The sequence below is a fragment of the Homo sapiens genome, chromosome 11 (assembly GCF_000001405.40).
Source record: "Homo sapiens chromosome 11, GRCh38.p14 Primary Assembly".
In the NCBI taxonomy this organism is placed as follows: domain Eukaryota; kingdom Metazoa; phylum Chordata; class Mammalia; order Primates; family Hominidae; genus Homo; species Homo sapiens.
The window spans coordinates 70,127,325-70,139,372 of NC_000011.10; the positions used below are offsets into that span (position 1 = coordinate 70,127,325).

General features: G+C 56.0%; 1 protein-coding gene across 21 annotated transcripts in view, besides 2 other annotated features; it reads left to right on the forward strand.

The window, feature by feature from the left end:
* The window catches only part of ANO1 (anoctamin 1), a 223,534-nt gene that overhangs the window by 161,328 nt on the left and 50,158 nt on the right, over positions 1-12,048 (forward strand). For all 21 annotated transcript variants that reach the window (NR_030691.2, XM_047427185.1, NM_001378092.1 and 18 more), the window contains one exon: positions 4,595-4,755. Coding sequence is in view for 20 of the 21 variants with exons in the window: in XM_047427185.1 (XP_047283141.1) it covers positions 4,595-4,755 (161 nt within the window). In the remaining variant the exon portion in view is untranslated. The remainder of the gene's footprint in view (positions 1-4,594; positions 4,756-12,048) is intronic.
* Positions 1,467-2,299: an enhancer, noted in NCBI's record as "H3K27ac-H3K4me1 hESC enhancer chr11:69974897-69975729 (GRCh37/hg19 assembly coordinates)". NCBI's record gives its function as "activates a minimal SCP1, AML or CMV promoter by ChIP-STARR-seq in naive H9 embryonic stem cells {active_cell/tissue: H9 hESC(naive)}" and the evidence as "EXISTENCE:reporter gene assay evidence [ECO:0000049][PMID:30033119]".
* Positions 7,015-8,214: an enhancer, noted in NCBI's record as "BRD4-independent group 4 enhancer chr11:69980445-69981644 (GRCh37/hg19 assembly coordinates)". NCBI's record gives its function as "activates an origin of replication core promoter dependent on BRD2, P300/CBP, MED14 and CDK7 cofactors, and independent of BRD4, by STARR-seq in HCT116 cells {active_cell/tissue: HCT116}" and the evidence as "EXISTENCE:reporter gene assay evidence [ECO:0000049][PMID:35650434]".

A 12,048-nucleotide genomic window follows, 5' to 3' on the forward strand; every position in this document is an offset into this window, starting at 1 on the left:
TATCTGCACGGCCCCGAGAAATTCTGCAGGAACTGTTCCATAAGGGAGGATTGCATCCCACAGCATAGGCAGGCATCTGAATGTAGATCCGATGTGCCTTCTGCTGTTCACCAAGGGTATGTCAGACGTCAGGGAGCTCGGAAAAGAAGGCCCAGACCTGAGACAGCCTCGCCTCGCTCAGGGGCCCAGTTCCCCCACATGACTTCAGAACAAGAGTCCAGTTTTGCCTGGTGCGATGGCGCATGCCTGTAATGCCAACACATTGGGAGGCTAAGGTTGGAGGATCCCTTGAGCCCGGGAGGTCGAGGCCACAGTGAGCCATGGTCTCACCACTGCACTCCAGCCTGGGGGAACAGAGTGGGGCCCTGTAGCCAAAAAAAAAAAGAGTCAAGTTTTGAGAAGCTCAGCCTCAGTGTGCAGAGTCCCTCTGGTGCTTGCTTTTGTAGCTGTTTCTTAGATTTCCTGACATGAACCTAAGGATAATTCCAGGCTCCCAACCTCTGGCAGGGTTTCTATGCCGACAGGCAGTGCCTTCAGCGTGCAAATCGCTCTGCCAGGGAATTGACTATAAAGGGGAATTTGGGCTGACCCTGCCCTGCAAGGGCTCCAAGTCTCAGAAAAGCCCTAAAATGTTAGTTTGGTTATTTTTCGAACCACTCCTGCCAAGTATCTCTAAAGCAGAGGTATAGTTTAGAAAATGTATCCACTGAGCCTGTCTGTAAAGACCCAATCAGTCTTAGGAAAGAAACTGACTCTTTGCAGCACAAAAAGACCATATCTGGTCAATTTTTGTTTAAGTGATGTTTTGATACATGAATAACACCTAAAATATTCCACCCCACCCCCACCCCCGAATCAAAGCTCTGAGGAATCTGGCTTATCTCCCTTTTGGTGTTAATTTGGTCCTAGGCAGGAGAAAGGTTTCCCTTTGTTTGCTAATATGGTATGAGGTCCTGGGCACTTGGGTTTGGTTGTGGTAAAGATCAAGGTAGTCCAGACTTGGTGGGGATTGTAAGGCTGGCTTTAGGCTAGGAGCTCAAAGCCGGAGGAAAATGGTGAGTGTAAGGTGAGGATTCTCCCCATGAGCCCTGGAGGAAGCCTGGGGGACCTCCATCTTCCTTCCTTCCTTCCCTTGGAGGGTGGCCCCAGCAGGGAGGCTCTGCCAGCCCAGGGGTTGGCCATGCCAGCTCGGCCCTTCCACCACATGGTCAGAAATGCAAACAGCAGTTACTCAGGATTCAGCCGCTGTGGGCGGAGATGAGGCCAAAGCCAAGGCCTCTGCCCAGCAGGCGACCTGGAGCGAAGCGGGAGGTGCGTGCTCCCTGCAGCTTCCGCCCCATCCCCACCAAGCTTGCAGGGAAGCCCCAGCATGGAGCCGCCTGCTGCCCTTGTACCTCCGGTCCTCTCTGAAGAAGAGAGCTTCCTGCTCTTTGTATTTTGGCTAAAGGCGGTGAAGTGAGAGGCGGAGGGGGATTTAAAACCAGCAGAAAAAGGCTTCTTGTTGGGCTGATGGTGTTTGTGCGAGAAGCTGAGGTGGGCAGGGAGGAGAGCCTAGGAGAGCGGTAGGGCTCATGGGCAGGCCGTTGGTGTACGCCTTGGCCCTGCCTGTCCCCAGTCCCACCACTGTGGACTCCAGGCCATCCTCAGTCCAGGTGGTCACTGTGGCCTGGGCCACATGCTGGCGATGATGGGGATGGCCTTCCACATGCCTGTTCTCTGGAAGAGGGGCTCGCGTTGTGCCCAACTGGGGACGTCCTGCCCCCAACCCCCCAAAACGCTGCTTTCTTCTGCCCTCAAGAGGCCCTCAGAAGAGAGGAGGCTGAGTGAGGGGCATGAGATAAACCCCGAAAGGCCGGCTCCTGGCTCGTGTTTAAAACTCACTGCTGCTGCAAAGTGCTTGGCTATTGCATAATAATGACAACAGCGTTGGTGACCACGTGATGGCCGAGGGGTGCCAGGCACTGTTCCAAGGGCCACACTCGTGTTGGTTGTTGGTTGTTTAATCCTCCTGACAACCTATTAACACGGCTTCTCTTCACTATCAGCAACCCCATTCTGCAGCCGGGAAAACTAAGGCCACACGGATCACAAAATGCAAGAGCTGAGATACAAACCCAGAGCTAGCTGACCGTAGAGTGCAGGTTCTCCCAACGGCTGTGTGTGCCTACTCACCCTGCCCGACCCCTGCTCCCATGCACACACACACACTTCCTCCATGCTCCAGGCTGTGGCTGCAATGAATTCTTCTTAACCTATCCATCTTTTGTGCCAGATACATGCAGTACCTACACCCCACCCCCCGCCTTTTTTTTTTTTTGACACAGAGTCTCACTCTGTCGCCCAGGCTGGAGTACAGTGGTGTGATCTCGACTCAATGCAACCTCCACCTCCCAGGTTCAAGCAATTCTCCTGCCTCAGCCTCCCGAGTAGCTGGGATTACAGGCTGGGATTACATGCCAGGCTAATGTTTGTATTTTTAGTAGAGACGGGGTTTCACCATGTTGGCCAGGCTGGTCTCAAACTCCTGACCTCGAGTGATCTGCCTGCCTCGGCCTCCCAGTGCTGGGATTACAGGCATGAGCCACCGTGCCTGGCCCTACACCACTTTTTAATAAATGTTTAGGGACTGTACCTGAAGGAAGAGAATTGAACCAGAATGCCCATGATGCTGGGCACAGAGGAGGCCCTTCAGAGCCTTGCAAGGGACGTTTATTAAGCACCAGCTGCTGTGGACCAGGCATGGTTCTGCGCATAAGTTCAGCATATCCAGAAAGTCAAAAAACAAACACCCACTTCAGCATCCCCCCACATCACCCTCCGACCCAACCAGCCAGGGTGTGTACTTAGAGCCCAGAGCCTTGTCCAAGGCAGCAGAAAGGAGAAAGTTCAAAGCAGGCCAGAGCAGGAAGGGACCTTATTCTGACCCCTCCTCATTTTCCAGAACGAAAAACTGAATCTGAGGCTAAAGGACTTGGCCAGGGCCACGGAGGGTATGAGTAGTCAGTTGAGGGCCCAGTTCAGGCCACCCAACTTCCACAAGGAGCCCCCCATGGCCCTTGAGCAGTAGATGAGAGCCGGCAGTGCTTGGGCTTTGAAGATACACACAGACCAGGATTCCATTCCCACTCTGCTGCGTGGCCCTGAACAAGTTACTTCCCCTCTCTGGGCTCTGGGATTGCAACAGTCCCCAGTGCTGGTCCAAGTGAGGTGGAACATCTGTGCCTGCCAGTAATGAGGCTCCTGCTCTCGCCGCCGATAGCCTGGAAGTATTAGTATTTTCTAATATTAGTGGGAGTAAGTCAGTGCTGGGGAGGAGGCACAGAGATGAGTCTCAGGCATCATGAAGATCCTCTCTCCTGGCCACAGTAGTTGGGATCTGGCCCCAGGCTCACCTGTGCTCAGCAAAGCAGAAGCCTGCACTGAGCGGGACCCATCATCCCTGGCAGGCCCCCCCGGCTTCCCGAGTGAGCCTACAGGGTGGGCCTCCGCTGCACCGGGCAGCTGGGGACCTATTCCTTCCGGCCCAGCCCCCGTTCTCCCAGAGAAGAGTCCTGGGATCCCCGTTTCTCCACCTCCTGTGTCCAGAGCACCCAGGCCACGTCCAAGGCAGCCGCCCCACCAGGCGGATGGAGATGCTGTGTGAACCGCTCATAGACGGCGCCTGGCACAGAGCAAGGGCCCTCATCATCTCACTGTTTTCCAAGGCCTTATAACATAAAGACCTGGCTAGCATTTGCTATTGGCACAAGCCTTGACCGTGCCTGCCGATTATATGGGGGCAGGCTGGGAACTCTGCCTCTCCTAGAAGTGGCTCAAGGATAGGCTGCAGAGGCTGCTGCCTCAGGGTCACCCCAGAGGTGAATGTTCCAGGGCCCATCTACCACAAAGCAGGTCTGGGTGAGTCCACCTCCAAGGCCGGCAACAGAGGTTGCAGGGCCCCATGCAAGAAGAAAATGCAGGTCTTTAGTTCAAAAATCAATGTGTGTGTGTGTGTGTGTGTGTGTGTGTGCGCGTCTGTGTTGAGATGGAGTCTCGCTCTGTCACCCAGGCTGGAGTGCAGTGACGTGATCTGGGCTCCCTGCAACCTCTGCCTCCAGGGTTCAAGCGATTCTTCTGCCTCAGCCTCCCGAGTAGCTGGGATCACAGGCGCGTGCCACCATGCCCGGCTAATTTTTGTGTTTTTAGTAGAGACAGGGTTTCACCATTTTGGCCAGGCTGGTCTTGAACCCCTGACCTCAGGTGATCCGCCCGCCTTGGCCTCCCAAAGTACTGGGATTACAGGCGTGAGTCACCACGCCCGTCCCATTGTGTGTTTTAAGGCAGCAACAGGGGAGCATTAAACCAAGCATGAGGCCCTGCTGAGCTCAGGGCTGGTGCAACAGCATGGGTCACACGCCTGTGAAGCTGCCCTGGATGGCAAGGAGGGACAGGGCATGGCTAAGCACCCGGCTTATGTCCACTATGGCATGGACCTGAGGGACCCTCGCCAACCCCCAGCTTGGGCCCAGCGCTTTCTCCCAGGCCAGCTCGGCACCCAGGAGGTGCTCCATCATGGCCCAACAAGGTGACTCCAGGGCTGCCCCCTCTCTTGCAGCATGGAGATGTGTGACCAGAGACACAATATCACCATGTGCCCGCTTTGCGACAAGACCTGCAGCTACTGGAAGATGAGCTCAGCCTGCGCCACGGCCCGCGCCAGCCACCTCTTCGACAACCCCGCCACGGTCTTCTTCTCTGTCTTCATGGCCCTCTGGGGTAAGCAGGGCTCCAGAGCACTGGGTTTTTGGGCAGTGGTGAGTCTGAGTGGTACCTAGGCTGCTTCTGTCTGTCTTTGCGAAATCATCCTCAGGCAGGGGTTGTCGGGAAAAAACATAGGGGAAGGGGGCTGGTGGAAACGACCCCTGTTTTGTGTTCAGGTTACTGGGGTGCGCAGTGCATCAGGAGAGACACGGGTTCTCCTGACCCAGCAAAGAGTCCCTTAGGAAAAGCCTAGGAGGGACGTTTTGCTCTGAGAAATCCTGACACCAGGGTATGCTGGCCTGTGAAGGGCAGCTGATTTAGAGCAGGGAGGCCCGAGGGTCCTGCCTCCATCCCTGCTGCAGCTGGCGACCACCACAGCCTGAAGGAAAGCTGACCTGGGCCAGGTCCCGGAGGCACCGTGTCTCACTAGAGCCCTCAGCATCCCTGCAGGCTTCATGTGCCCATTTTCGGATAAGGAGGCGAAGGCCTAAGAGAGTTGGGAATCGCCTGGGGTCACTCAGCTCCTGATTGCCACTGGGCTCCACTGCCATGCAAACCTAAGGCACTGGCCTCCTCCTCCAGGAAGATTCCCTAACCCCAGTCCTACCCGACTCCCAACTCCAGCTTTCGGGGCTTGGGAGGTTGGTAAGTGGTGGCTGAATGCATTTCTACAGAGGTTCTGGGTGAGCAAGCAGGCCCATTCTGTCCTCTGCAGCCCCGTGTCTCAGCCTGTGCCAGCTTTGAGATGCCCACAGTGGGCAGCCTGTGCTGAGCCATCTCCCAGGCCTGGCCCCACGCCGGGCACTTAAGCCCCCATCCTTACCTGTGAGCTCCCACCTTGTAGGAGATGGGGCCAGGCACAGAGACAGCGCTGGAGGGAGTTCAGGAGGGCTTTCTGGAAGAGGTGTGAGGCCCTTCAGATGAGTTGACATGGGTGTGGGGGAGGCAGCATTTGTGGCAGAGAGACCAGGTGTAGAGACAGAGGGGCCTCTCCGTCCCACCTCGTACCCCTGCTTGGGGCAGGCTCCCGGGGCCAGAATAGCGCCACCTCACCTGCAGCTGTACCCGCTTGGCACTGCCCTGTGTGCTCTGTGGGTAGGCAAGGGGCAAATGTGGACTGAAAAGGCAATTGTTTGACCAGTGAGGACAGAGGCCAGCCAGGTTGCGGGGCTCTGTGTGGCCCTTACCCGCCAGCGTGCTGATCCTGAAGATCAGACCTAGGATTCAGTACCGTGCCCCATCAGTAAGCAGAGCATTGGCTGGCATTGCCAAAGCCTTGCCAGCATCCTCCATGGAGAGCACCTCGAAGTATGGCCTGTGATTCCGGCTCAGGCACCTCCTGACCAAGGAGCAGCTGCTCGGGGGAGGCTGGAAACCTAGAGGAGGTTCAGAGGATGAAGGTAGAGCCGGGTCTCTGGCCTGCACAGAAGCACCCAGCAGGTTGGGCAGAGAGGGACTGAAGCACCAGCACCCAGCTCTGGGGTCTGCATGCTCCTCCCCTCTTCATCCTTATGGCGCCTCCGTCCTCTCCAGGCCCGAGCCCTGTCCCTACACAGCTCGGCAGCCTCCTCCCCTGCTCCGGAGGCTGCATTCGGGGCTGGTGTTCTCTCCAACAGTGCATAAGAGAATTCCCCATGAAGCCGAGGAAGCCGACAGGCTCAGGTTATCCTCCTGCTTGGCGCAGATATCCTGCAGCTGGGACTCAGGGTTTGGCTGAGCCTGTGTGGTTTGCGGGTGGGTGTGCACAGCAGAGCCGAGGTATGTATCAGGTGAGGTGAGGGAGGGGAGGCCTGGCCCACCCTCTGCAGCTCCTGCTCCAGCCTGGGCAGCTGGGCCGGGTCCTCTTGCCTCGGCTCACCAACACTGTATCTCATTCCTACCCTTCCGGAGACCCGGGACAGAGGCCGCCAGCTCTGAGCATGGGTGCCGGCAATGGTGAGAGTTGGAGCTTCTCCATTTAGATGCTTTGTGGACGGCCACCTCCCTCAAGACCCTCCTCACCCTGGAATCTTATTGGGCAGCTCCGTGTCCTTAGCAGAGTTCCCTCCACAGAGGCCTCAGCCCCGAGGCACCTCGCTGCAGCCCCACCCGCTGTGTGCGCAGCTGGAAGGGCCTGGCTCTCATGAGCGCTTCCTCCACATGGTCGCCAGCAGCTCTGTTTCCTCATTTGGGACCCCTGGGCCTGTGCAGCCACTGAGACAGTATTTCAGGTGGTCCATAGCATGACCCACAAGTAAGTGTGACCCCTGTAGCACTGAGCCCCCTGAGCCACTAGAAGATTGTTCAGTGCCGCCTGCTGTGGTCAGCCCTGCTGCCCCGTGTACATTTCTATAGCGCCCCCGGGGCTCAGACTCCCGCTCTGCCAGTTCCCACCTCACTGCTCTAAACCTCAGCTTCCTCATCTGCAGAATGAGGCTGCATGAGGATCAGAGGCGACGGACATGAACTCTCAGCCGAGGCTTAGCACATAGCTTACTCTAAATAGGTGGTCACTGCCGTCTTACCACATTGGAGCATGTGAGAACCAAAGAAAACCTATACGAGAGTGTGCGTGCGCCTGGTGTGTGGGAGGTACTCATCAGCCACGTGTACTGAGCACATGTGTCCCACCTGCATGAGGATGTGCACGTGCCTGGTGTGTGGGAGCTACTCATCGGCCCATGTGTACTGAGCACAATGTGTATCCCACACTGTGCCGGGCCCCAGGGGAACCAAGGGAAGCAAACCTGATGTATCCGCTGCTCTAAAAGCTGCAGCGTAGGTTTCAAGAGAAGGCCCCATGGGAAGGGTGCGGGGCTGTGGCAGGAGCTCCAGGTGCAGGGACCAGGTGAGAGGGGTGTCAGAGCATCCGGAGAGGTCAGCAAGGACACGCTGAGAAGAACTTAGTGTGCTGGCTCAGAGGAATCAGAACCCAGTGCCATCAGCTGCTGTGTCAAAGATGCTTTCCTGTCTTATGCTCGAGTCGGAGACCGCAAGTCTAAGAGGGAGCTTGTGCAGTGATTAAGAGAGGGGTGACACAGTGGGGGCCCAGCTCCAGGAAGGGCACCTATGGGAAGGTGTGAGAGAAGCGATTGGGAGCCTCATGGCACCCTCCCTCCCTGGCCCTGGGGACCCTGATTTCATCCGTCTGTTTCCTCTTTCCCTGCTGAAATCCCTGGGAGGAATTCAGCCCTTAGACTCCCTGTAGCCACTTCTCCAAAGAAAAGGCCTCCGATGGAAAAGAGAGACTTTAGATTATTCCAAAGGACTCCACACTTTGTTTTAGCTCTCATGCTATTCCCATGAGTTAAGGAGACGCTGGCGGGCTTGGCCGAGCTGGTCTCATCTGACACACAGGGTTATGAATTACAGCTCCCACATTTAACCATGAATAAAAGGCTTTTAAGGGCCCTGGAGAAAGCAGCCACCACGTCCTTCCACCCCACGCTCTGCCCATCCCTGGCATCACCTTAGGATCTGGGAGGGCACAGCCGTCTGAGAACCCCTGGCTGGTGTTCTTCTCTACAGCGGACTCCAAAGGCACCCACTTTTGTGGGACTCTCCAAACGTCCAGTAATTCCTGGGTCCACAGAACTGGGCCTCCCTCCTCTGCAGAGAAAGAAGGACGTGGTGTTTCATTTTCTCCTTCTCCAATTACAGGCATGCCCAGTAAGAGCACATTCCCAGGGGAAGGGAGGAGAGAGGCTGAAGGAGCCCGGATGAAGAAAGAAGCCGTCTTGGGCTGTAATGATCCCATTTCGAGCTTAACACGCCGGGCGATAAGAGGTCTCTGTGATAAGCGCCTGTTGCGGCTCTTGTTTTGGGAGCCCAAAGCGCTACGTGGCATTCTGGTCACTGCAAATTCCTTCTTCTGAGTGCCAGAGCATCACCCAGTCACGCCTTCCAGGTCACCTGTGGGAGTGCCTACTGGGCAGGCATGGGTGCCGCAGCCACAGAACGAGCCCCTCCCCCCAGACCTCCCTCCTTCTGGGAGTTCCTGCTGCAAGGTCGTCCTTTGAGAGGATGCAGGCAGCGCAGATTGGTCAACACCCTGGTTGTTTGGGGAGAAACCCTCAAGGGTCTGGTCCCTCATGCGTTGGGCTGGCTAGCAGCCCTGTGGCCCCCAGGCCTGTGGACCCTCCAAGACTAGAGCGTCCAGGGCTGGCTGACCCTGCTGGAGGCTCTAGACCTGGGCCTGATTCCCAGGGGGCAGCAGCTCTGGGCTTGTCGGTCCCCTGTGGTTCTCAAACTCGGTCCCACAGGCCTCTGCAGGAACCCGCACCAGTCAAGAGGTTTAAGTGCAAGGGAGGGATGCCTGGGTACAGCATGGATGTTGGCATCTCGTCTTAGGTGCCCATGACCCTGAGAGTGAGTGTCGTGGGACCTGCAGCACCAGCACCTCCCTCGCCTCACCCTGGCCTCAGTCCTGATTTAAATGAACATCGTCCTTTGGCCGATTTCATGTTTGGGGCTTCTGCCTGGAGTTTGTTAGGGGAAGATGGGAGTTCCTCTGCTGAGGTTCGAAGGCTCAGCCAGGGCCTGCAAGCCTCTGTGAGCAAGTGAGGGCCCAGGGAGAGTCAGGAGAGGCCTTTCCTGGTGAGGTCAGGTGCCTGTCGTCGGCGTCTGCACTTGCCTGGAAGCCGCCCTCAGACACGCTCAGCTCCACCACACGAGGGTGTGGGCAGAGCAGTGTGAGGGACAGGTCTTGCTTTCCCGGGATTCCAGTCACAGGTGGGGACAGACACGCACAGAAATCAGCATAGCCTCGAGATAAATGCAGTTGTTTCTCTTCGTGGACAAAGGCGTTCGATTTTCCAGAGGAGGCCAAGAATGGGAGCCGTGGGTCCGTAGCTTGGTGTAGGGCGTGAGTTCCAGTGGTGAGCAGTGAGACACGCTGAGCTGGGCTGGCCAGGGAGGGGGTGAGCGCCCCGTGCTGGGAAGCATTCAAGCTGAGGTTGGAGGACTTCTTGCTGGGGCAACTGCAGAGCATTGGGAGGTGATGTCTATGTGTGATCCAAGGCCACGTGGCTTATTGGGAAGATTCCCAGGCCTACAACCCAGCTCTGGTTTTTAATTTGGGGATCAAAATGTATCGTAAATTTAGAATTATAAATGTAGGGTCAGCAGCAGTCTGTCACCGCTGAAGCACACGTGCCAGAGCTCCCGTTGTTTATCACACTGTATCCGAACAGCGGAGAACCTGTCCCCATTTCACAGAGGAGGAAAGTGAGGCTCCATTGGCACAGCCGGGAACTGAAGCCACATCTCTCTGAGCCTGTCCTCTCTCCCCTGCCTGCCCCTGCCTGCCCCTGCCTGCCCCTGCCTGCCTCCCTGGACGCTGCGTCCATCTGGAACTATCTCCACAAACCCCCCACCCCCCCACCCGCCATCACCGCTGTCTGCTGCTCCTTCCCTCCCTCGCCTTCCTAGAGACCTCAGCACCGGTCAGATCCCTCCCTGTCTCCCTCTCTCTGATCATGACCCAGGAGGCTGTGACTCCCCAGCCTCCTGGTGCCCCAGCTCCAGGCTGGGAAGATCCACCCAGCGGGGCCCGGCCTGCCCTGGCAGCCCACTTGACGGTCACTGGATTACTCAGGCTGACTTGGCTGCGTAGTAGGACGGTTAGATACAGTCAAGGGGTTCACAGTGCCAGCTCCGGGGCCCGGCTCAGGTTCAAATCCCAGCTCTGTCACCTGCCAGCCCTGTGACCTGAGAACTTGCTTCTACTCTCTGGGTCCCAGGTTCGCATCTGTAGAACGGAGACACAGTCCCACCCCACAGGGTTGCTGGGAACATGGAAGGAGTCACTGCATGCAAAGTTCTTAGGGCCATGCCTGGCTTGTGCCTGGTGCCAGTTGCTACGTTGCACTGGCTGTTAAAAGTGAGCTGTTGCTTTTTGAAATTTTGAAAACGTAGCCTTGGGTCCTAGGAGATTGAGCTTAAACCTAACCTCTCACCTTGTGCTTGGTGGCCTCTGTCCATTCAGTGACTTCTTCTCCTTCAGAAAAGAATAACAGCTGGCTGGGCGCGGTGGTTCACGCCTGTAATCCCAGCACTTTGGGAGGCCAAGGCGGGCAGATCACCTGAGGTCAGAAGCTCAAGACCAGTCAGGCCAACATGGTGAAACCCCGTCTCTACTAAAAATACAAAGATTAGCTGGCCGTAGTGGCACGCGCCTGTAGTCCCAGCTACTTGGGAGTCTGAGGCAGGAGAATCACTTGAACCCGGGAGGCAGAGGTTGCAGTGAGCCAAGATCACGCCACTGCACTCCAGCCTGGGCAAAAAGAGTGAAATTCCATCTCAGAAAAAAAAAAAAAAAAAAAGGCTGGGCGCAGTGGCTCACGCCTGTAATCTCAGGAGACTAAGGCAGGAGAATCGCTTGAACCCAGGAGGCAGAGGTCGCAGTGAGCCAAGATCACGCCATTGCACTCCAGCCTGGGCAAAAAGAGTGAAAGTCCGTCTCAAAAAAAAAAAAAAGAAAAGAAAAGAATCACAGCTGAAGGTAGGTGAGCCTTATTTTGTGCCAGGCACTGTCATGAGCATCTCCCGCGTGCTGACTCACTAACTCCCCCCGAAGGAGGTAAATAGCTCTATGACCCCATCTGGCAGATGAACAAACTAGGGCAACCTTCCCAAACTTACACCCGCTCGTAAGCAGGGCTTGAACCCCAGAATTCTGGTTTCTGAGCCCCAAATACTTTTTCATAACTTTTTTTTTTAGTTGCAGTTTTTTTTTCTTTCCAACTTTTATTTTAGGCTCAGAGGTGACATGTGCTGATCTGTTACATGGGTAAACTGCGTGCCGTTGGTTTGGTGTACAGGTTATTTTGTCACCCAGATAACCAGCACAGTACCCGACAGATAGTTTTTCCATCCTCACCCTCCTCCCACCCTCCACCCTCGAGTAGGCCTCGGTGTCTCCTGTCCCCTGCTTTGTGTCCCTGTGTACTCAATGTTTAGCTCCCACTTAAAGGTGAGAACATGTGGCATTTGGTTTTCTGTTCCTGCATTCGTTTAGTCCGCTTAGGATAATGGTCTCTAGCTCCATCCATGTTGCTGCAAAGGCCTTCTTTTTATGACTGCGTAGTGTTCCCTGGTGTATACGGACCACATATTCTTTTTTATTTTTTATCTTGAGACAGAGTGTCTGTCGCCCAGGCTGGAGTGCAGTGGCACAATCTCGGCTCACTGCAAACTCCGCCTCCCATGTTCAAGTGATTCTCCTGCCTCAGCCTCCCGAGTAGCTGGCATTACAGGCACCTGCCACCATGCCCGGCTAATTTTTCTATTTTTAGTAGAGACGGTGTCTCACTCTTGTTGTCCAGGCTG